Source organism: Homo sapiens, chromosome X (assembly GCF_000001405.40).
Source record: "Homo sapiens chromosome X, GRCh38.p14 Primary Assembly".
Lineage (NCBI taxonomy): Eukaryota > Metazoa > Chordata > Mammalia > Primates > Hominidae > Homo > Homo sapiens.
This window is the reverse complement of record NC_000023.11, coordinates 115,953,951-115,978,744: the sequence shown is the minus strand read 5'-3', so window position 1 is coordinate 115,978,744 and position 24,794 is coordinate 115,953,951. Positions and strand designations below refer to the sequence as shown.

At 41.4% G+C, this 24,794-nt stretch overlaps 1 long non-coding RNA gene across 2 annotated transcripts in view, besides 3 other annotated features; it reads left to right on the top strand.

Moving 5' to 3' along the window:
• Positions 1 to 9,633: 9,633 nt before the first annotated feature.
• Positions 9,634 to 24,794, top strand: part of DANT2 (DXZ4 associated non-coding transcript 2, distal) — a 128,716-nt gene continuing 113,555 nt past the window's right edge. For both annotated transcript variants that reach the window (NR_132337.1, NR_130730.1), the window contains exon 1: positions 9,634 to 9,784. This is a non-coding gene — a long non-coding RNA (DXZ4 associated non-coding transcript 2, distal). The remainder of the gene's footprint in view (positions 9,785 to 24,794) is intronic.
• Positions 10,968 to 11,544: an enhancer, noted in NCBI's record as "H3K27ac-H3K4me1 hESC enhancer chrX:115083534-115084110 (GRCh37/hg19 assembly coordinates)". NCBI's record gives its function as "activates a minimal SCP1, AML or CMV promoter by ChIP-STARR-seq in naive H9 embryonic stem cells {active_cell/tissue: H9 hESC(naive)}" and the evidence as "EXISTENCE:reporter gene assay evidence [ECO:0000049][PMID:30033119]".
• Positions 11,545 to 12,122: an enhancer, noted in NCBI's record as "H3K27ac-H3K4me1 hESC enhancer chrX:115082956-115083533 (GRCh37/hg19 assembly coordinates)". NCBI's record gives its function as "activates a minimal SCP1, AML or CMV promoter by ChIP-STARR-seq in naive H9 embryonic stem cells {active_cell/tissue: H9 hESC(naive)}" and the evidence as "EXISTENCE:reporter gene assay evidence [ECO:0000049][PMID:30033119]".
• Positions 18,008 to 18,508: an enhancer, noted in NCBI's record as "H3K27ac hESC enhancer chrX:115076570-115077070 (GRCh37/hg19 assembly coordinates)". NCBI's record gives its function as "activates a minimal SCP1, AML or CMV promoter by ChIP-STARR-seq in primed H9 embryonic stem cells {active_cell/tissue: H9 hESC(primed)}" and the evidence as "EXISTENCE:reporter gene assay evidence [ECO:0000049][PMID:30033119]".

The following is a 24,794-nucleotide window of genomic DNA, read 5'->3' as shown; positions in this document are numbered from 1 at the left end:
CACCAGCTTCCCCAAAAGGTCCTTAATCATAATATTTTAAGAACCATTCATTTATTTGACCCTATTTTAGTTGAGGAAATTCAAATCTGGAGCAGTAAAATGATCTGGTCAAAATCAGAGATGACAAGTTAATGAGTCATAATGGCTTTGTGATGCTGACTATCCTCTTTTACCTGGTCTCATTATCTTTCTCTGCCCCAATGCTTTTGGTTAACAGAACATAATCATAAGGGCACAGCACACAAAGCCAGTGTCTGTTGAACCCTGAACTAGCCAGCTCAGGTCACTGGGAGACTGTGTGTGCTATGTGATCCATAAGAGATTAGAAGCCAATAGAAAGATTGGAAGCAGTCCCTTATGACTCCCTGATCAAACTTTTTTATAACATTTTAAATCAACTACAGTGTGTATTACTAAAATCACAAAAGAATAATACATCATAAATAATATTCACCTATGAATGTCACTGTGAATCTGCCCTGTGTTATGGAGGAAAGAATGTTATGCAGCTGGTATTTGATAGTGGTAGTTTTCTTCCTTAAAAGGCACCACAAATAAGTCCATGCCAAATCCTTTCCAACAGTGGTTTCAGTAAAGTAAACTGCTTAACTACAAGGCCACGTGGCGGAGTACACTTCACATGGGAAGGCTCACAGAGCCTTCAGAGATTCCATTGTAAGATGCTAGAGGGTCCTTTTCTCAGCAATCCAAGGGGACAAACAGGGTCACCTCAAATTCTTTCCCAGCTCTAAGGTTTATAGAAGTATCAGGCTATTCTGAGAGCCTTGCAAGGTCCCAGGTTACTGAAATAACCCTGCCTATCTTTGCTCAATGTTGAGCACTGAGAATGTAGCTATGATGCAAGTCAAAGCCTAAGGAACACAGTTCCTACCAAATCTCCATGATACCAGTGAAAACATTATAGAAAGTCATGCTTCTAAATACCAAGGCATTCTGCTCTAGTTAAATAGTGACCTTTTCTGGGGCTTTGAGTCTAAACTGAGTTCAGCAATATTGGAATTTACCAAATAGGTTATTTTCAATCACACAAGGGAAATGCTCATGATCATCATAATTAACTCTAGCCATGGGCTATACATGGACACAGTGCCTAACCAGATATTAAGAGAGGAAGTTCAGTGAGATACTTACCTTTAGAAAGGAGCCTATTGTACAGAATGGGGTAAAACACAATCAAAGTACAATTGATAATTGAGTTACATACCTATCTGATGTGGTAAATCAGTGTATGATCTTCATCTGTGCTTGAAGTCTGGGTCCACACCACCACAGGGCCACACCAACTGTAAATCACACTCTTATATTTTCTTACAATACTGTAACCTGAGAAGAAAAGAAAGTGTTGTTGAGTTCCTTAGCCAGATAAAAACCAATTTTCCTAAGAATTCAGCATAAAAAAAGAAAACCCAGTCTCTTTAACTGTTTAAAAATACAGCAAGAACAACAATTTTAAAAACCTTCAAGCCATTATACAATCTTAGGAGAAATAAGCCTAAGGCTGAAGATGGTCTGGACTTCATAGGGAAAAACAAATTTTGATGTAATCAACTGTGGTCAATTAGTGACTTCACAAAGTGATGTGCTGGAATTCAGGCTTGTGGTCAACAATACTGATCCACCTTTTCTGCTTGCTTAAGCTATTGTCTCTGAATTTAATGAAATATTAATAAATATCTTGTTAGCTTTACATCTTGGGATACAGAAGTGTTCTCCCACTTGTAGCTTTTTTTATTCCAGTGATGGCTGAGTATCCTGACATTGGGTGTGAAGTAGAGGTTTGAAATTCATACAGCACTGCTACTCAAGTAGCTATAAACGCCTTGCAAAACTGGCCTGAACCATTTGAGATTATTGCAAGGACCTGTTTATACATATTCCCAAAAGATCTATTTTATAGAAGCATGCACAGTTACTATGTGTGGCTACACCCTGAATTCGTTCAAAGCATCAAAGATCTGAAACCATGTACTAATTGTGTGAACCATGAAGGTAACTGTGGCCTTAATGCTGACCAATTCACATTGCCAAACAACAACGAAGCACGTCTTGCATCAAAATTGGGGAAACATTACTGTTTGTCAGTGATGAATACATTGACAGGGAAAAATCCATGGGAAGATCAGGATACTCTCTCTCATTGCAACCCCCATCCCCAGATATCCATGGAGCTCTCTCATCTCCTCCTTCAGATCTTTTCTCCCATGTCTCCTTCTTAGCGAGGCCTTAGCTGCACAATCTACCCAGAGATGAAAATCCCACACCCATCCCACAGTGTTCCCTTCCCTGCTCAGTTTGCTGTGTAGCGCATATGACTATTATGATACATACATAACTTATTGATCCTGTTTTATCAGTCTCCTCTACTAGAATGTGAGCTCTATGTGAATAGGATCGTTTTTTGTGTTTATTTCATGGCTGTAGTTGCAGCATTAAGAATATGATCACCATACACTAGGTGTTCAACAAATGTTTGCTGAAGGAATTAATGAAAGTTCAACAATTCTAATCTTTGTGTCATTCCCAGAGGTGACCTTGTCATCAATATAGTGAACTTCTTTCAGAATTTCCTTCCACATATTACATTCTGATATAAAGGCCCATTAAAAATTGATACTTTGTACCTCCATTAAGCTGTTGAATATTTTGACAATACTTAAAACAAAAATCATGTTTTCCAATTCTGCCTTGAAACTCAAGCAATTATAGCTCTGTAAATGTGACCATAATCAACTCTTATTTTTGGTATTTTTACTCATATTTCTTAATACACTCAAATTCTGATTTGGTTGTTCTTGTTTACTCTTTATCGCGAACATTTTGAAACAAAGGTGATAGAACAATGTGGAAAAAATTCCATGTACTCAGCAACCAGTTTAACAATAATCAACATTTACAAATTATGTTTTATTTTCACTTCTACTGAAATATCTCAAAGTATATTTCAACTATCATATGACTTCATGTATGAATCCTAACAAGATATTCAATCCATGCAGTTTACAATAATATACACTCTAACCAATAGGATTTTAGGAAAAAATAACCAAAATGTCATCCTTGCCTCTAACAGAAATTAGAATTATTCTCTAAGGGCACACAAAAATATCCATGTTCAATTTCCCTGATTGACCAAAATATGGCTCTTAAATTGTACTTGTTCTTCTTAGGATCAAAAGAAGTATTACACACGACTTTTAAAAAATATTTTAACATTCCTTTATTGATGGAAATGCAGGTAATTACATTTTGTTATTTGTTTTCTGGTTGTTTTGTGGTCTTCTTTCTTTCATTTCTGTCTTCCTTTAGTGAAGGTGATTTTCTCTGGAGATATAGTTTAGTTTCTTGCTTTTTATTTTTGTGTATCCATTATATGTTTTTTGATTTGAGGTTACTATGAGGTTTGCAAATACTATCTTATAACCCATTTTAAGCTTATAACAACTTAACACTGTTTGCATAAAGAAACAAACAAAAAGAAAACTAATAGAAATTCTACACCTTATGTCCATCCCCCTGCTTTTTCACTTTTTGTTTTCTATTTTATTGTACTGACTATGTCTTGGACATATTGGACCTCCATTGTATGTTATTTGTTCTTTTTCTCTTGCTGTTTTAGGATCCTTTCTTTATCCTTGAATTTCAGGAGCCAGAATATTAAATGCTTTGAGGTGATCTTTGAATTAAATCTGGTTGGTGTTCTATAACTTTCTTGTACTTGAATGTTGATATCTTTCTATAGGCTTGGGAAGTTCTCTGTTATTATCCCTTTATACAAACTTTCTACCCCTATTAATTTCTACCTCCTCCTTAAAGCCAATAACTCTTAGATTTGCATTTTGAGGCTATTTTCTAGATCCTGTAGGCATGCTTTATTTTGTTTATTTTTTTCTTTTGTCTCCTCTGACTGTCTATTTTTAAGTAGCCTGTCTTCAAGCTCACTAATACTTTCTTCTGCTTGATCAATTCTGCTGTAAAAAAAAAAAAAAAAAAAAAAAACTCTGATGCATTCTTTAGTATGTCAATTGCATTTTTCAGCTCCAGAATTTCTGCTTTATTCTTTGTAATTATTTTAATCTCTTTGTTAAATTTATCTGATAGAACTTTAAATTTCTTCTCTGTTATCTTGAATTTTTTTGAGTTTCCTCAACACAGCTCTTTTGAATTCTCTGTCTGAAAGGTCACATATCTCTGTTTTTCCAGGATTGGTCCCTGGTGTCTGGTTTAGTTCATTTGGTGAGGTTAGGTTTTCCGGGATTGTCTTGATACTTGTAGATGTCTGTCTGTGTCTGGGCATAGAAGGGTTAGGTATTTATTGTCTTTACAGTCTGGTCTTGTTTGTACCTGTCCTTCTTGAGAAGGCTTTCCAGATATTCCAAAGGACTTGGGTGTTGTGATCAAAGCTGTGTCTGCTTTACAGGGCATCCCAAGCCCAGTAATATTGTGGGTCCACAGACTCATACAGGTACCACCTTGATGGTTCTGAAAAAGTTCTAACAGAATTCTCTGGGTTACCAGGCAGAGATTCTTGTTCTCTTCCCTTACTTTCTCACAAACAAACAAAGTGTCTTTCCATTCTGAACCACCTGAAGCTGAGGGTGGAGTGACACAAGCACCCCTGCAACCGCCACCACTATGATTGTGCTGGATCAGCCCTGAAGCCAGCACAATGCTAGGTTTTGCCCAAGGCCTGCTGTAATCACTCCCTGGCTGCTGCCTCTGTTCACACAAGGCCCTGGGGCTTTACAGTCAGTAGGTGGTGAGGCGAGCCAGGCCTATGTCTTTTCCTTCAGGGTGGTGAGTTACCCATGCCCCCAGGAGGGCCCAGAGTGCTGGCAGGGAGCCAGGAACTAGAGTCAAAAACCTTAAAAGTCTACCTGGTGTTCTGTTGTGCTGCTGCAGCACTGGAACTCAAACTGCAAGATGTGTTCCTTCCCACTCTTTCCACCCGTTTCCAAAGGCAGAAGAGCCTTACTCCATGGCCACTGCCACCACAGGTTTATATGAAGTACTGTCAGACTACCACCAATGTCCCCTTAAGGACCAAGTGATCTTGAGTCAGCTTGTGGTAAATGTTGCCTGGCCTGGGAGTCACCCTTCAGGGCAGTGGGCTCCCCTCTGACCCAGGGCAGATCCAAAAATACCATCCAAAAACCAAGTTCTGGAATCAGGGACTCCAAGAGCCCACTTGGTGCTCTATACTTCAGTGGCAAAGCTGGTACCTGAAGCTAGCAAGTCTCAGAGCCTCACCCAAGGCCCTCAACATAGTACCTAGGTATCTCTGCTGGTTGTTCAGTGCCCAGTGGCTCTTCAGTTAGCAGATGATGAATGCTACCAGGACTGGATTCTTACCTTCAAAGCAGCAGGTTCCCTTCTGGCCCAGAAGATGTCTGGAAATGTCATCCTGGAGCTAGGGCCAGGAAAGTGGGCATCATTACTCTGACTGGTGCCCTATCCTGCTGTTGCTGAGCTGTTATCCAAGCTGCAAGACAATGTCCTCCCTACTCTTCCCTCTCCTCAAGTGTAAGGAAGGGGTCTCTGTTGGAGCCATGAGCTGTGCAGCCTGGGGTTAGTAGAGGGATGAGGCCAGCACTCACTTAACTTCCCTGGCTGCTGTGTCAGTAGGTCACGTGTCCCCCTAGACTACTGTCTCTTGTCTGAGTTCAGCACTAGGACTAATAAAAGTTGCAATACTTTTGGCCTAAACTGCCTTTCAAGGGCCCCAGGGCATTTTAGCCTGCATTGGAGATTCCCCTCTGGCAAGGGCTAATATAAATACTCCCTCTGTTGGGGTGGTGGGGAGCATCAGCTGTGTTTGGTCTGTTTTTCCTTTCTAACAGGACAGCACTGAGTTCAATGACTCACAATTGCTGCACTCTCCCTCCACCAGCACACAGAAACACTTACTGCCAGGGGTTGGGGGAGGGGTGATGTGACAATTCAAGACTGTTTTTTTTCCTGCCTCTTCAGGGCCTCTTTCAGTGATATAAAGTTAAAACCAGGTCCTATGAGTACTCACCTAATTTTTGGTTCTTACGACAGTGTTTTTCTTGTATAGATAGTTGTTAAATTGGTGTCCTTGCAAGGGGTGGGGACAATAGGTGGAACCTTCTATTCTGCTATCTTGCTCTGCCTCCTCCTACACAACATTGATTCAAATATTTCCTCTTTTCCTTTCCTTTCCTTTCCTCTCTCTCTCTCTTTCTTTTTCTTTCTTTCTTTATTTTTTGAGACAGAGTTTTGCTCTTGTTGCCCAGCCTGGAATGCAATGGCATGATCTCAGCATCTCTGCTCACTGCAACCTCTGCCTCCTGGGTTCAAGTGATTCTCCTGCCTCAGCCTCCCGAGTAGCTGGGATTACAGACACCCACCACCACATCTGGCTAATTTTTGTATTTTTAGTAGACATGGGGATTTGCCATGTTGGCCAGGCTGATCTCGAACTCCTGACCTCAGGTGATCTGCACACCTTGGCCTCCCAAAGTGCTGGGATTACAGGCATGAGCCACTATGCCCAGTCTCCTATTTCTTCTTAAATCTATAACACCACCACCCTCCCTCTTTTCTTTGCTATTCCTTTGGTGAGAGACTGGTTTATTATTTGTCCTGTAGAATTATTCATTTTTTACATTTTACCGTATCCATCCTAATGCAAAACCTATTCCTTTATAAGCAGAATATCTTGTAGTAATATCTATGGATGTGGTTAGATTCAGGTACAATTTTTTTGGCAGGAACATTCATAGTTGATGCTTTGTACTCTGATTGCATGATATCAGCATTCACATAATATGTTTCTCATATATTTGATGGAAAATATCATATCAGTGAGTTACAGCATTCTCACCTTGATTCACCCATGATATAAAATTTCCCACAAATCTTGTACCTAAATTTTATTAAATCTAAGTGCTGGTTTACATTTTATTATTGACATACAATTCACATACCATGTAATTCACCATTTAAAAGTATACAAGTCATTGCTTTTTAGTACATTCACAAAATTGTGTATCCATTACAACAAATTTTAGAAAATTTTTCTAAAATGAAAGCTCCATTTCTATTAGCAGTCATTTCTTATTCAGCCTTCCCCAGCCCCTGGCAACTACTAATCCACTATGTCTCTGTATAGATTTGCCTATTCTGGCCATTTTATATAAATGGAATCATGCAATATGCATTTTTGTCTGGTTTCTTAATGTATTATAATAGTTTCCAGGTTAAATCCATGTGGTATCATGTATCTGTGCTTCATTCCATGTTATGGCTAAATAATAAGCCATGGTATGGATATAGCATATTTGTTTAAACACTCACCAGTTCATGGGCATTTAGGTTGTTTCTCCTTTGGGTTTTATGAATTATGCTGCCACAAATATTCATGCATAACTTTTGTTCAAATATCTTTTCAGTTATCTTGGATATATACTTAGGAGTGGAATTCCTGGACCACGTGGTAATTATACGTTTAACTTTTTGTGGAAGTGCCAAACTCCTTTCCATAATATCTACATCGTTTTACTTTCCCACCGGCAATGTATGACAGTTTCAATTTCTCTACATCTTCATCACACTTGTTATTTTCAATTTTGTTTTTATTCTACCCATCCTAGTAAGTGTGAAGTGTATCTCCTCGTGATTTTGCTTTGTATTTGCCTAAATGAATGATGTTGAGCATCCTTTATGGAGCTGCTTGCCCATTTGCATGAAGAGCGCAAAGGAGTTGCAGCCTAGCATGTTTGGATTCATCCTGTGACACTCCGGTTCACCTTGGCAAAGCTTTAGCCTCTGTGGACCTTGGTTTCCTGGCACAATGAGTGTTTATTGAATCTGTGTCGGTTCAGGTAATGCAGACAGAAAAAAGGCTGTGACTTGATTCTGTGTCAGGCAATGGCCATTCCTACATTAAATAAAGGAGGAGAAAAACAGGGAGGCATCCAGAGAGGTGCAGCTGAGATTCATAGCCCAATTCTTTCTCGGCTAATTCCACCTGGGAACCAGAGGGAAGCTCTTTCCACTTTCCATTTTCTACAACGTGGAATTGTGGCAGAGTCTTAACCCCTCCCTCAACTCTCCCCTAAGCCGGTGAAGGCATCTGTCTGACCAGAACAAAGTATTACCTATGCCCATTTATTCTCTTTCCCCTACCTCCTGGTAATTCCCACCCACCTCTGCCCAAACAGCAAGGGAATGAGTAAGAGAAGAGGTTTGGGAGTATCTGGCCAGCAGGTGGTCTTGGGGTGGGGTGGGGATGGGGGACTGAGAGAGTGAAGGTCAGTTGGTGGGGAGTGAAATGGAGGCAGAAAATTCTAAGGAGTTGGAGGCGGTAAAAGTGCAGTTGTACCCTCCTCAGGTTGGTGTAGAGGCCTTGGATTTCTTTTTAAAGTGTTTCTTTTAAGGTGGGTGTACTGGGGAGTGGACCTGGGCAGCGGTGACTTTGGTTCTCACTTGAAACACTTATTTGTAGGGAAAACATTCCTTAAAATTTTTCTTCAGAAAAATTTTTGTAAAAGTCCATCAGGTCCTAAAACATTGGGTTTGTGAAACAAAAAATAATAGTAAAAGTCCATCAAATACTATATTATGAATAGAAAATTAAATGGGTCCACAAAAATATCTTCGCAATCAATAGGTTGGCAACTGAATAGCGTGCATGCTTCCCATGGGTCTTGGGAGCTCACCAGACTATTATTTTAAAAGGATCTTTATTTGCATCTCTCCCTCCAACTTAAGAAATCAGGTGCTAGAAGGATGTACGCCCCAATTTAACAGTCCTCTGAGTGGTGTCATCACGGGTTATCTTCGTTTTTCTTTATGCACTACAGGTGTCTTCATTCTGCGAATATTATTTTGCAAGACAAAAGTGTTCCTTTTTTTTTTTTTTTCAAAAGAAAGAAGATATCAGGGCACTGGTCAGACAGGGGAAACCTTCGAGTCGCTGTCACTCTTTCGGACGTAGCATTTCATCACCCACCTAGGCAGCGTGTGCGCCAAACAGCAGCATCCCCTGGAATGGCCGCAGAAGCAGCACTGGGCCCCTAACAGTTCCAGACAAAAATCAGGGAGTGATAGGGCACCGGCAGTGTCTGGTCTTGGGAACCACACATTTCACTCCCCACCAACTGACCCCACACTCTCAGCCCCATGCCCCTACCCCAAGACTACCTGCTGGCCAGATACTCCCAGACCTTTTCTCTTACTCATTACCTCTCACCTGGGGAGGGAGCAATTGAGGCTTTTAGTAACCTCAGTCAATGTAATGATACAAACTTATCGGTTGAAAATATGCATATTTAAATTTCTTTTACGTCTAAATGTTTTGCGAATATTGAACTATAGATATTCCATTGTATTGTTCTGACTCAATCATCGTTTGCCCCCTAGCAACAAGTACCTTATTCTAAGGGAAAGAAATAGATTCTACCGAGCAACTGGCCAAGATGAAAGATTTCCCACCTGACTTTCCGTAGCCCACCTCTCCCGGCCCTTTAAGCACCTACGACTGGCTTAAGATGTCCCACTCCTCCCCTGGGCGGAGCCGACACCACACAACCCGGATTCCCAACACCTCCCCTTCCTCTGACCTTCAGCTTCCACCCCCTCTGGGGAACAGGAGACACAGAAGATGGAGGGAGGGATGGCAGCCTACCCTGTGGCAACGCGGGAGTCGCGTTGCCGCAGGGGGCGCATTGGGGTCCAGCCGTCCCCAGAACGCAGATCAGAGGTAGTCGGACCTTTCCCGCTGGCGCGCAGCCTCAGCTAGGTAGGTCTCCTTCCTTCGTCTTTCCTTTCTTTGCCTTTCCTTTCCCTGACGCTGGGGGAAGTAGGGCAGGGGTTCTGTGCCATAGGCGGCCTTTCTGGTGCAGAGGACCTTCCCCATCCTCCATCATGTGAGCAGCCAGAGCCGGGCGCTCGAACTTGCGCAATGGTGGCTGCCGCACCACCGGCTCGGGCGTCAGGCAGTTATCTGGGAGTCCCCGAGGGCCGAGTCGGGGCCATGTGGGCGGGTCGGGGTCTTGCGTTTTTGGAGCACTGAGTTTTTAACCCCTGCCTACGTTTTCAGTTCTGGCAAGTGTAGGGAGAGCCTCCTAGCAGAGTCCCTCTAGCCTTCCTCGTCGGTTGGCCTGGAAGCGTTTCTGTGTGGCCAAAGGGCGGGGCGAACAGGAGGAGAAGGGTGCGCACACGGATTCCTTCACCCACTCGAGTTCTCCCCACCTACGTGGCTGGAGGAGGGTGCGCGTGCTCTGTGGGTTTGGACTGAGTGGTGGTTAAACCTCATGGCCGCCGTGCGTGCTCACAAGTGCTGGGCTCCCTTGAATGTACCCCTAAAGAGGGTACATTTCCTCGGATGAAATTTTGGCCTAAAAGCAATACAGCTCCCTTTCTACGTACGCATTTAAAGACATGGAAAGAGACCCCCCCCCCCAGATTTTCAGGGGCTCGCTCACATTTTCATCTTTTTTCAGTTCTGTGAAATGGGAGGATCTGAAACGGCCATGATTATTAAGAAAAAGAAAGAATGAAGCTTCTTAAATAAGTATCAAAAATTACAAAAGATAGTGGTAATAATACAAAATATAAGCTCAACAAATTATATGTAGACAAAAAAAGTCCAAAAGGAAAGAAGACACAATTGTCACAGTTATACTGGTTATTTCTAGATGAAGATGTTAAGAGTGTTTGTGTGTTCGCTCTTGTTGTGCTTTGTGTTTCTTGTTATTGATACTAAGGCAAAAGTTTGGCCTTATTTCCAAAATTAGAAAAACTGACCAAAGTTCTATGGAGATTTGATTGCATGAGAGGTCATTTCGCATAGTGAATTGCACTGTGTTTTAAGTGGGATTATAACCATTTTAACGGTAAAGAAAACAAAGCAATTGCACCAGAACATGTGGTTTTACATTCCTTGTGAGATGGCATTTGGCTATCTGCATGTGTAGGACAAATTCTAGCAAGAAAATAGTGTGATTACTTGAGAACACTTGAGAGGAGCCAGAACCAAGATGGGTCAGGAAATAGTAGGTAGTACAGGTTCCTCAGAGGGGGACAGGTCATGGTTGGAAATTGATAATATGTGAAAAATTATACAACAGTGTAGTTTTTGTTTTGATTTCCCTTCTTATGAGTCGCTAAAAGATATTTTTGTATATTTTAAGATCCTTGTATGTCTTTTTCTGTGGACTCTTAAAGTCTATTTCTGTTGGGGTAAGGGGAATTGAACAGGCACTGTTACACATTCTGAGACCTGGCTCTACAGGAAAGGATGCTCAGGGGACCCTTGGCATTCAGTGAGGCATGTGTGTGTGTGTGTGTGCGCGCGCGCGCACACACACACACACACACAGTAGAATCACCGTGCTAGAGCCACACACACACAAACACAGTAGAAACACAATGCTAGAGCCAGACACACACACACACACACAGTAGAAACACAGTGCTAGAGCCAGACACACAGACGGAACACAATTCTAGAGCCAGAGACAGGCAGACAGACACACACACACCGCGCGCGCGCACACACACACACACACACACACACGGAACACAATGCTAGAGCCAGAGCTGCCAGGTCGTGGTCGCTGACTGTGAAGGCAGACACCAGGCTGTCTAGTGGGGTCCTTGCAAGAGCTCGAGTCTGCCATTTTCTAGGCTCATGGGAGATGTAGGAACTGTGGCAGTTCAGCTGCATAACACATCAGCATCTGGAAAACCTCACGCAGGCAGTCTTTGGCCCTTTCTGAGCCATGACTCTGTGTGCCTGGATTCCTGATTTATGCAGCTCAGCACTAGGCAGAGTGTGCAGGGATTTCTTCTTGGCCACCAGGATGATAGGCACATTCAATCAAAAGTGTTTGGGAGGTATCCCTGCAGGTTGGTTATTTTGTGTCTCCATTTTCATTGATTTCAATTTTTTTAAGTGTTTATTTATTGGCAACTGAAATTTTTTGAAATTTTTTCCATAAGTTATTGGGGTCACAGGTAGTATTTGGTTACATAGTAAGTTCTTTAGTGGTGATTTGTGAGATTTTTGGTACACCCATCACCCAAGCAGTATACCACTGCACCATATTTGTAGTCTTTTATTCCTCGCCTCCCTCCCACTCTTCTGCACAAGTCCCCAAAGTCCACTGTATCATTCTTATGCCTTTGTGTCCTCATATCAGTGAAAACATGATGTTTGGTTTTCCATTTCTGAGTTACATCATTTGGAATAATAGTCTCCAATCTCATCCAGGTCACTGCAAATGCTATTAATTAATTCCTTCTTATGGCTGCATAGTATTCCATCAAATATAACACAGTTTCTTTATCCACTTGTTGATTGATGGGCATTTGGGTTGGTTCCACGAATTTGCAATTGTGAACTGTGCTGCTATAAACATGTGTGTGCAAGTATCATTTTTGAATAATGACTTCTTTTCCTCTGGGTAGATACCCAGTAGTGGGATGGCTGGATCAAATGGTAATTCTACTTTTAGTTCTTTAAGAAATCTCCACACTGTTTTCCGTAGTGGCTGTACTAGTTTACATTCCCACCAGCAGTGTAGAAATGTTCCCTGTTCACTGCATCCATGTCAACATCTACTGTTTTTTTATTTTTTTATTATGGCCATTCTTGAAGGAGTAAGATGGTATTGCATTGTGGTTTTGATTTGCATTTCCCTGAGCATTAGTGATGTTGAGCATTTTTTCATATGTTTATTGGCCATTTGTATATCTTTTAAGAATTATCAATTCATGTCCTTAGCCGACTTTTTAATGGGATTGTTTTTTTCTTACTGATTTGAGTTCATTGTAGATTCTGGATATTAGTCCTTTGTCAGATGTATAGATTGTGAAGATTTTCTCCCACTCTGTGGGTTTTGTGTATACTCTGCTGACTGTTCCTTTTGCCATGCAAAAGCTCTTTAGTTTAATTAGGTCCCAGCTATTTATCTTTGTTTTTATTACATTTGCTTTTGGGTTCTTGGTCATGAAATCCTTGCTTAAGCCAATGTCTAGAAGGGATTTTCCAATGTTATCTTCTAGAATTTTTATAGTTTTGGTCTTAGGTTCAAGTTCTTAATCCATCTTAAGTTGATTTTTGTGTAAGGTGAGATATGAGGATCCAGTTTCTTTCCTCTACATGTGGCTAGCCAATTATCCCAGCACCATTTGTTGAAAAGTGTGTCCTTTCCCCACTTTGTTTTTGTTTGCTTTGTCGAAGATCAGTTGGCTGTAAGTATTTGGGTTTATTTCTGGGTTCTCTATTCTGTTCCATTGGTCTATGTGCCTATTTTTATACCAGTATCACGCTGTTTTGGTGACTGTTCTTATAGTATAGTTTGAAATCAGGTAGTGTGATGCCTCCAGATTTGTTATTTTTGCTTAGTCTTGCTTTGGCTATGTGGGATCTTTTTTGATTCCATATGAATTTTAGGATTGATTTTTCTAACTCTGTGAAGAATTATGGTAGTGTTCTGGTGGAGATTGCATTGAATTTATAGATTGCTTTTGGCAGTATGGTCGTTTTCAAAATATTGATTCTACTCATCAATGAGCATGGGATGTGTTTCCATTTGTTTGTGTCATCTATGATTTGTTTAAGCAGTGTTTTGTAGTTTTCTTGTAGAAGTCTTTCGACTCCTTTGTTAGGTATATTCCTAAGTGTTGTTTTTTTTTTTGTTTTTGTTTTGTTGTTGTTTTTTTTCCCCGCAGCTATTGTAAAAAGAGTTAAGTTCTTGATTTGTTTATCTGTTTGGTCACTGTTGTTGTATGGAAGAGCTACTGATTTCTGTACATTAATCTTGTATCCGGAAACTTTGCTGAATTCTTTTATCAGTTCTAGGTGCTTCCTAGAGGAGTCCTTAGGGTTTTCAAGGTAAACAATCATATCATCAGCAAACAGTAACAGTTTGACTTCCTCTTTACCATTTTGGATGTCCTTCATTTCTTTCTCTTGTCTGATTGCTCTGGCTAGGACTTCCAGTACTATGTTGAAAAGGAGTGGTGAGTGGCCATCCTTGTCTTGTTCCAGTTCTCAGAGGGAATGCTTTCAACTTTTCCCCATTCAGTATTATGTTGGCTGTGGGTTTGTCACAAATGGTTTTTATTACATTAAGGTGTGTCCCTTGTATGTTGATTTTGCTGGGGGTTTTAATCATAAAGGATGCTGGATTTTGTCAAATGGTTTTTCTGCATTTATTTAGATGACCATGTGATTTTTGTTTTTAATTCTGTTTATGTGGTGTATCACATTTATTGACTTACATATATTACACCATCCCTGCATCCCTGGTATGAAACCCACTTGATCCAGCTGGATTATGTTTTTGATATGTTGTAGGATTCAGTTAGCTAGTATTTTGCTAAGGACTTTAGCATCTGTGTTCATCAAGGATATCTGTCTGTAGTTTTCTTTTTTGGTTGTGTCCTTTCCTAGTTTTGGTATTAGGGTGATGCTGGCTTCATAGAATGAATTAGGGAGGGTTCCTTCTTTATCTTGTGGAATAGTGTCAAAAGAATTGGTACCAATTCTTCTTTGAATATCTGGTAGAATTCTGCTGTGACTCTATCTGATCCTGGACTTTTTTTGTTGGTAATTTTTAAATTACCATTTCAATCTCGCTGCTTGTTATTGGTCTGTTCAGGGTATCTCATTCTTTCTGATTTAAGCTAAGAGAGTTGTATTTTTACAGGAATATATCGATTTCTTCTAGGTTTTCTAGTTTATATGCATAAAGGCATTCATAGTAGCCTTGAATGATCTTTTGTATCTAAGTGGTGTCAGTTGTAATAATTTCTGTTTTGTTTATTAGCGAGGTTATTTGGATTTTCTCTCTTCTCTTGGTTAATCTTACTAATGGTCTATCAATTTTATTTATCTTTTCAAAGAACCAGCTTTTTGTTTCATTGATCTTTTGTATTTTTTTTGTTTCAATTTCATTTAGTTCTGCTCTGATCTTGGTTATTTCCTTTCTTCTGCTGAGTTTGGGTTTGGTTTGTCATTATTTCTCGAGTTCCTTGAAGTGTGACCTTAGATTGTCTATTTGTGCTCTTTCAGACTTTTGGATGTAGGTGTTTATAGCTATGAACTTTCCTTTTAGCACCACCTTTGCTGTATTCCAGAGGTTTTGATAGATTGTGTCATTATTGTCATTTAATTCAAAGAATTTTTAAATTTCCATCTTTATTTCATTTTTGACCCAATGCTCATTCAGGAGCAGGTTATTTAATTTCCATGTAATTGCATGGCTTTGAAGGTTTATTTTGGAGTTGATTTCCAGTTTTATTCCACTATGGTCTGAGAGTGCTTGGTATAATTTCAATTTTTTTTAAGTTTATTGAGGCTTGTTTTGAAGCCTATCTTATGGCCTATCTGAGGAGAAAGTTCCATGTGCTGTTGAATAAAATGTGTATTCTGTGGTTGTTGGAGAAAATGTTCTGTATGTAGCTCTTAAGTCCATTTGTTTCAAGGTATAGTTTAAATCCATTGTTTCTTTGTTGACTTTCTGTCTTGATGACCTGTCTAGTGCTGTCAGTGAAGTATTGAAGTCCCCCACTATTATTGTGTTGCTGTCTATCTCATTTCTTAGGTCTATTAGTAATTGTTTTATAAATTTGGGAGCTCCAGTGTTAGGTGTATATATGTTTAGGATTGTGATATTTTCCTGTTGCACAAGGCCTTTTACCATTATATGCTGTCCCTCTTTGTCTCTTTTAACCGCTGTTGCTTGAAAGTTTGTTTTGCCTGTTATAAGGATAGCTACCCCTGCTCACTTTTGGTGTCCATTTGCATGAAATGCCTTTTTCCACCACTTTAAGTTAATGTGAGTCCTTATATGTTAGGTGAGTCTCCAGAAGGCAGCAGATGGTTGGTGAGTTCTTATCCGTTTTGTGATTCTGTATCTTTTAAGTGGAGCATTTAGGCCATTTGCATTCAATGTTAGTATTGAAATGTGAGGTACCATTACTTTCATTGTGCTTTTTGTTGTCTGTGTACTTGGTGTTTTTTGTTTTTTGTTTTTGCTTTTTTTTTCCGCAGAAAAGTCAGAATTAAGTTTTATTTCACATTGGTAGAAACCATGAAAAACATTTACATTTTCCCACATTACAGCACATTTCAATGGAATATTTCTTGCCATAAATAATATCTTGCTGATTTGTAGAACTGAAATAACAGTTTATGTTCTTCAAGGTAAAGAAAAATGACATAGTAAATGATTGTTTAAACTTGTATTTTTGTTTTATAGGTCCTATGTGATTTATGATTGAAAGAGGTTCTGTTTTGATATGTTTCCAGGATTTCTTTCAAGATTTAGAGCTCCTCTTAGCAGTTCTTGTAGTGGTGGTTTGGTAATGGCGAGTGTTCTCACCATTTGTTTGTCTGAAAACGACTGTATCTTTCCTTCATATATGCTTCATATATGATGCTTAGTTTCGCTGGATACAAAATTCTTGGCTGATAATTGTTTGTTTGAGTAGGCTGAAGATAGGGCCCCAATCCCTTCTAGTTTATAAGGTTTCTGCTGAGAAATCTGCTGTTAATCTGATAGGTTTTCCTTGATAGGTTACCTGGTGCTTCTGTCTCACAGCTCTTGAGATTATTTCCTTCATCTTAACTTTGAATAAAGTGATGACAGTGTGCCTAGGCAAAGATCTTTTTGTAATGAATTTCCCAGGTATTTTTTGTGCTTCTTATATTTGGATGTCTAGGTCTCTAGCAAGGCTGGGGAAGTTTTCCTTGATTATTCCCCAAGATATGTTTTCCAGGCTTTTAGAATTCTCTTCTCCCTCAGGTACACCAATTATTCTTAGGTTCAGTTGTTTAACATAATCCCAGACTTCTTGGAGACTTTGTTTATATTTTATTATTCTTTTTACTTTGTCTTTGTTGGGTTGGGTTGATTCGAAGACCTTGTCTTTGAGCTATAAATTTCTTTCTTCTACTTGTTCAATTATATTCCTGAGACTTTCCAGAGCATTTCACATTTCTAAAAGTGTGTCTAAAATTTCCTGAATTTTTTATTGTTTTTTCTTTAAGCTATCTATTTCCATGAATATTTCTGCCTTCACTTCTTGTATCATTTTTTGGATTTCCTTGCATTGGGCTTCGCCTTTCTCTGGTCCCTCCCTGATTAACTTAATAACTAACCTGAATTTTTTTCAGGTAAATCAGCGATTTCTTCTTGATTTGAATCCATTGCTGGGGAACTAGTGTGATTTTGGGGGGGGGGTTGAAGAGCCTTGTTTTGTCATATTGCCAGGGTTGGTTTTCTGGTTTCTTCTCATTTGGGTAGGCTCTGTTAGAATGAAGGTCAAGGGCTGAAGGCTGTTGTTCAGATTCTTTGGTCCCACAGGGTGTTTCCTTGATGTACTACTCTCTTCTCCCTATGGATGTGGCTTCCTGTGAGCCAAACTGCAGTGATTGTTGTCTCTCTTCTGGGTCTAGCCACCCAGTGAGTCTACCCAGCTCCAGGCTGGTACTGGGGGTTGTCTGCACAGAGTCCTGTAATGTGAACTGTCTATGGGTCTTTCAGCCATGGATACCAGTGCCTGTTCCAGTGGAGATGGCAGAGGGTGCAATGGACTCCATGAGGGTCCTTAGCTTTGGTGGTTTAATGCTCTATTTTTATGCTGGTTGGCCTCCTGCCAGGAGGTGGTGCTTTCCAGAAATCATCAGCTATAGTAGTGTGGAGAGGGACTGGTAGTGGGTAGGGCCCTAGAACTCCCAGGATTATATACCCTTTGTCTTACACTACCAGGGTGGACAGGGAAGGACCATCAAGTAGGGGTGGGGCTAGGCATGTCTGAGCTCAGTAAATACTCTCCATGGGTGGGTCTTGCTCCAGCTGCTGTGGAGGATGGGGGTGAGATTCCCACGTCATTGGAGCTGTGTACCTAGGAAGATTATGGCTACCTCTGCTGAGTCATGCAGGTTGTCAGGAAAGTGAGGGAAAGCTGGCAGTCACAGGCCTCACCCAGCTCCCACACAAATGGTAGGGCCAGTCTCATGTCCACTGTGCCCCCGCAAACAGCCCTGAGTCTATTTCCAGGCAGTGGTCAAGTTGGGCTTGAAAACTTGCCCAAGGTTATCTGCCTCCCAGCTGCAAGAGAAAAGTTCTTCCACCGCCTGTGAAGTCTGCAAGCCTGATTCACACCCTCCCCTGAGTTCTGGTCAGGAGGCTTCTCACCCCATTCAAATTGTTACAAAGTTCAGCTAGAGAATTCTTTCTCCCTGTGGAGTTTTACCCCTTGCTCCTCTGGCCACCCTCCGATGGATCCCTGTGGTGCCAGGCAGGAATGGGCTGCTTGGGGACCCAGTGAGCTCCCAGGGCCTTTCTGCTGCTTCCTCTACCCCTGTATTTTACTCATCTCTCTAACTTGACTCAGCTGCAGGTAAAGTCGGAAACCTCTCCTGCAAACTGACCTTCGGCTTCTCCAGTCGGGGTGTGCTCAGGAGAAGGGGGAAGGGGGTCTCCCTTTCCCACTTCTACAGTTGGGGCACTCATAGTATTTGGGGTGTCTCCTGGGTCCTGCAGGTGCAGTCTGTTTCCTTTAGAGGGTCTGTGAATCCTCTCAGGATTGCTGGTTTGTTCTTGCAGTTGATCTGGAGCTAAAATTCACAATGCAAGACGCTGCATGCTGCTCTGTCCGGAGCTATAATCTAGTCCTGCCTTCTGTCTGTCATGATGCTGTCTCTCTCCTGATTTCAATTTTTTAAAAAAAATTCTGTCTTAATTTCATCAATGACCCAAAGATCTCTTTTTAGGAGATTGTAAGCTCTTTTTAGGAGTGCTCTAAGAAAGGAAGTTTAAATATTATCAAGTATGTGTTAGCTAGAAAAAAAAACTACATTTTTTTCTCAACTGTGAGAATTCTGTGGTAAACATGATAAGTAGGGCTGGGCCATCCCAGGGACACTGCTAGAAGACATTCTAGATTTTGGTAAGTCCTTTAGTGCAGAGGTTTGAATAGAGTTTTCAAGTGCCAAGTATTCTGAGATCTTATATCTAACTGACCTAAAAGTAGGACCATCGTAGCCTGAAGACAAGAGGACAGCATTGTGAGAAGAGCTGGGTCCTCAGGCCCTGTTGTCTTGGGATGGCAGTTTTGCATCATACTTCATGCCAGTCCTGATGCCTCAGGGCTGCCTCTCTTTGTGTCTAGCTGCCTGAGACCTCAAGGTTAAATTATATTATAGTAAAAATGCCCAAGACAGAATGTTCCCACTGGTCCAAAGTAGATTTGACTTCAACTCTGTGCCCAGACTAAAGACATTTCCTATAGTCTTGACCAGATCCAGTGTTAAAGATAGAACCATGGGTAGATATGTTTGGATCCATTCCTAGAGTTACATGGTGGGGACAAATTTATTTTTCTCTGAGAGGAAGCTAAAGACCATTCTACCAGAAAGATGCCCTGCACACTGGAGGACCAACTGTGAGAGCTGGGAGTCACTTAGTGACAATCACTTTAATGCTGGTTGGCTTTTTTTCAGTGGCAAATGATGGAGGAAGAGGTAACTGAGTGGGTGGCACCAAAGGGCATGTTAACATTTCTGGTAAAATACTGCCATCTAAAGGAAACTCTTTCCCAAACCAGTCACCCATCTTCCCCTCTTCCCCTCTTCCATCTTCCTCCAACTTCCTATTTTCTCCCACACTGACTCACCTCACCACTCCTCATCCTTCCCTATCAAACCTTCCTGTGGTGCATTGGAAATGGAAAACAAAGTCCTAGGCTGAGGGGACACGCAGCAGAACCACACTCCAAAATGCATATATAAAGCATCTCCTGGGAACAGCTCAGACTTTGCAACCTCCAAACACAGGCACCAGGAGGAGACAACCAGCCAGGGAGCCTGAGCTGAAAGGCACAGGAAGCCTAGGCTAGGGACTCTGCTTACCACCATGTTTATTCAAAACTGCAGTAGCATATCTCAAAATTGTATGTTCACCTGAAGTTTGAATCCCAACCTCCAGGGGACAGTGGGACTCTGGTCGCCTTTGACCTCTTGGTCAAGCTGCCCTTGCAGTGACCCGTGAGAATGCCCAAGTGCATATGTCTCCTGGAAAGCAGGGGTTGGGCTCAGATCCTACTGCGTGCCCAATTTTCTTCTCTTCCCTGAGGGCTCCACCATCCTCCCATGCTAAAGGCACAGTTAGGGATGTGTTTAGGTTGGGTCCATCCCTTGGACGGTTCAAGGGGACCACTTCCCTGTTTGTCAGGAAGGCAGGCTAAGAGGACCCCGCCAAGGCCATTCTCCCCAGGACAGGGTCCCGCAGGTGGGCCAGAGCTGGCCAAAAGTGGCTGAGATGGTGATCAGCCATGTTCAGAGCATGGTTGGCTTTTTTTTCTTAGCAAAGGGCAGAGGGAGTGGACCTGGGGGAAGGGCAGGTGGGCATTTCTGGAGCAATACTGCCATCAAGAGGAATCATTTGGCAATCCCACGCACCCTTCCCTGTGCTTGCCTGGGGAGGAGCGGCTTGGGAGTGCTATAGGGGACCAGGCAGGACTAGGGCCAGTGCCCAGATAGATCCAGGCTCTCTGGAGGCCCAAGGGAAGTGGGGCCCGTGGCTGGGTCGGGATGTGGAAGCCCCAGAAATAGGCACTGAGGATGAGGTGGCCAGCCAGGACACCTGGCACGTTCCGTACAGGAAGTCATGGCTCAGGAGTCTGGTGGTGGCCATGATCTGGGTGAGACTAATGGAGGCCTCAGCCAAGGAGCTTTTGCTCGGGGCCACAGGCAGTTTGCCTGGTGCCCCTTTTCTTGAGAGCAATTGGCGTGATGGCCTAGCTGGGTCCTCGGCCCCAGGAGGCTCTCTTGGCCACAGTGCACAGCAGTGAGGATGGGCCACTCCCAGTGTTACCAGTGGAGGGTGTCAAGGTTTTTAGCATCTTGAAAAATGAATTGGACAAAATGTACAAACAAAGCAAGGAAAGAAGGAAGCAGTAAAAGCAGACATTTATTGAAAATGAAAGTACACTCTACAGGGTGGGAGCGGGCTTGAGCATAGGGGCTCAAGAGCCCCATTACAGAAATTTCTAGGGTTTAAATACCCTCTAGAGGTTTCTATTGGCTACCTGGGGTATGCCCTATGTAAATGAAAAGGATGAAGTAACATTACAGAGTTATTTACTCGGCTTATGCCCTGTGTAAATAGAAAGGATATTACCTGTCATAGCTGAAGTGTTTCCATTTCATTTAGTTCTAGGAAGTCAGCATGAAATGGCCTTATGTTTCCTGCCTCCAGACCCTGTTCTCCTACCACATTTCCCCCCGAGAGGTGTGATCTCATAAATCTTTATGGCAGGTGGAGGGACTGATGGTCTTTCTCCTCTAACTGCTTTCTGCTGGCTTAGGGGGTAGTCCCTACCTGTCGGGAATTATGGAACTCTCACCCTGCTCTGTCTAGTGGAGGCAGGGTAGCTCCTTAGTGGCCAGGGGTGATGTCTTCACCTGGAACTGCCTGGAACCTTTGTTGCATGATTATCTGAAGCTTGATGGTCTCTATGTGAGAAGAAATGAATTTGGTTAAAAGATTTAATGGGAACTTCAGGGGGTGTCTACATATGCTGTCAGGAATGTTTGTTCTAGAGATTTGCCGGAGAAAAACAAAACCTGGTCTGTTCTAGGACCTGTGTTTCCTTAAAGTTTTAACACAAGCGACTCCAGTTTGGTTTGGTTTGGTCTTTTGAGGCCTAGTGCATAAGCTCAATCCAAAACAATGGCCTCCCACAATTTTGTTTTTTAAAAAATTCCCTTTTTGGTCAGTTTCTCACTTAGATGAGAGTATGACCAAAACTTAGGGCCTTAGCGACGCTCTCAGTTACCATCATTTTGGGTTTCTGGTCTCAGCCTGTCATTCATCAGTGGCCTTATAGTCACACATTTCTTTCAGCTCTTGTCATTCCAGTTGAAGAGAAACCATTTGACATTCTAGAGATGGCTGCATGCAAGCATTTAAAACCTCTGAGAGGGCCGGGCACGGTGGCTTACGCCTGTAATCCCAGCACTTTGAGGCTGAGGTGGGCGGATCACGAGGTCAGGAGATCGAGACCATCCTGGCTAACATGGTGAAACCCCGTCTCTACTGAAAATACAAAAAAAACTAGCCAGTCATGGTGGCAGGTGCCTATAGTCCCAGCACTTGGGAGGCTGAGGCAGGAGAATGGCATAAACCCGGGAGATGGAGCTTGCAGTGAGCGGAGATCCTGCCACTGCACTCCAGCCTGGGCAACAGAGCAAGACTCCATCTCAAAAAAAAAAAAAAAAAAAAAAACAACCTCTGAGAGAAGACAGTGCACCAGGGAGACTATTATTATGACTAAGAGTTTGGTTTGGAGTATGCTCCTTACCCAGGATCCACATAAACCAAACCTCCTAAAATCAAATAGATACAAGAATGAGCTCGATAAAGAGTCTATTCCCTTAACTAGGCAGTTTCTTCATTAATCAGCTACACCTGAATCTCTATAATACCCGATGTTTCCTCCATAGGCCATAAGTGCCAGCAGCTGCACAGATACTTCTCTATTCAGCCAATTCTATCATAACTTTCACAAGAGAATTTAAAGTCTTTTGTGTAACTGTAGCCTTTATGGTGGAATTTGCTATAGAACCTATCATGAGGGATACATTTCTCCTTTTACATTGCTTCTTTTACTCCAAACAATGGAAAAAGGACCTAACAAATGATGCCTTTCTAGAAGAGTGAAGGCCTTCTGACAATGTTCTCTTTAACCTGTGATGTGGGTGAAGAAGAGTGAACCAATGTTCTGTTTCCAACTGATTACGAGGCAATGTATGTACCATTAAAGTTTCTCACCTACATTGGGCCTTCATCTTTTATCTTTCAAAGTATAAGGTTATCCATGTATAAGGCTGGCTCCAAACTCCTTCACAAATAAAATTATACCCTATAAGTGCACATAACAGACCACTTTTCTACTTCTATTGTTCATAGAGGCATAAGCAAGAAAACATATTCAAAGATAAGAGTCTCATGATAGTAGAAGTCTTAATCTGTGAACTCTTGAAAAGCTGTTTACATCAAGGATGCCATCTTCTTCTAGGGAGAAAATTCCCTCGTTACTTTTACCTTAAGGGTTCCAGTGGATGTACAGTTCCAAGACTGTGGACGGACCCTTCTCAGTTGTGAGATTATGAACCCAGAGTTCAAGGTTCGAAAGTTTTGCTGCAATGTGGGTGGCAAGGACAGTCTTTCTCTGATGTTCTCAGAAGATCCAATCTTTGGGTCCAGTGCGATGGCTCATACCTGTAAATCCAGCGCTTTGGGAGGCCGAGGCAGGCAGATCACTTGAGGTTAGGAGTTCAAGACCAGCCTGGCCAACTTAGCGAAACCCCATCTCTACTAAAAGTAATAATTAATAATAATAATAATACAAAAATTAGCCGGGCATGGTGGTGCATGCCTGTAATCCCAGCTACTTGGGAAACTGAGGCAGGAGAATTGCTTGAACCTAGGAGGCAAAGGTTACAGTGAGCCAAGATTGCACCACTGCACTCCAGCCTGGGAGACAGAGCAAGACTTTGTCTCAAAAAAAAAAAAAAAAAAAAAAAAAGTCCTATCTTTGGGTTGTAGATTGTATAGGGGGTAATTGTCTCGGTGAACCATAAAAAGCTTTCTTTACCTGGCGAAAATACACTGTGGCATAATAACTTAGTGTTATAACAGCCCTGTTGCATGGGAGAGCTTCTACACAACCAGAAAACATGCATTGAAAATAACAATTGAATGAAATCCTTTTATAAAATGTTTAAATGGCCCATCAGGTTACCAAATGTACCTGAAGCTTTGATTGTTTTCCCAGGAATATGGGAACAAGCATTGGTTATAAATTACTTTAGCAATTTATAAGACACCACACCAATATATTCAATTTGGGTTATTTTATCTTTTCCATGATGAGTCATGGAATACAGAACTTTTAATAATAAAAGCTTTAAGGACTCAGGAAGGACAAGGTGGCCATCCTGGTTCTCTATGAGTCCATGCTTAATTAACATTAGACTTATATCCTCTTTAATATCAGTTGTTTCTCCCAATTAGGTGCATACCACTGATAACTGATGGGTTATCATAGGTAATTTGACTTAGACTGTGGAGTTCATTAATTGTACTTCTAAACTATTTCAGTATCAGCTGGATTAACAAGAAAATCTGACAAAGTATAATTTTTTTTTGGTATCCAATTAATTTTTGGTTCTACTTGGGTTAGTAGCTTTATACAAGGAAATTTGGTTATTTCTGTGGCCTACAATAACTTAACCTAATAACCATAATTATGATTGATAGCATATACTCAGACATATTAGAATTTTAGAAATTCCATACAATTTTGGAACATTTATTAATATTATTCACTAAAATATAACCTGAAGATCATTAAACATTTTTTTTATTTTGACAATGCTTCCCATGTAACTAAACATGTCAAAGAAATAAAAGACAATTTTAAAGCGGAAATTCTATTTTGGGAAACCTATTAAATATGTTAGAGGTTTTAAAAAATTTACATTCCCATGCCTTCTTATAATCTTTTACCAAAAACACATTTCACTTTTCTTACACACCTTGCATGTAAAACTGTTTCTATAGTCTCAATTACATGCTATAATAGTGACTCTTAGCAATTTTAATTTTAATGTAAACCCTGGTAAGTTATATTAATTATGCACTAGGTGCTGATAAGGTTTGACTATTTCCAGCATAGCTAGGGGTGTAGCCAACTCCACATGTTCCGAGGCCTTACCTTGTTGTAAA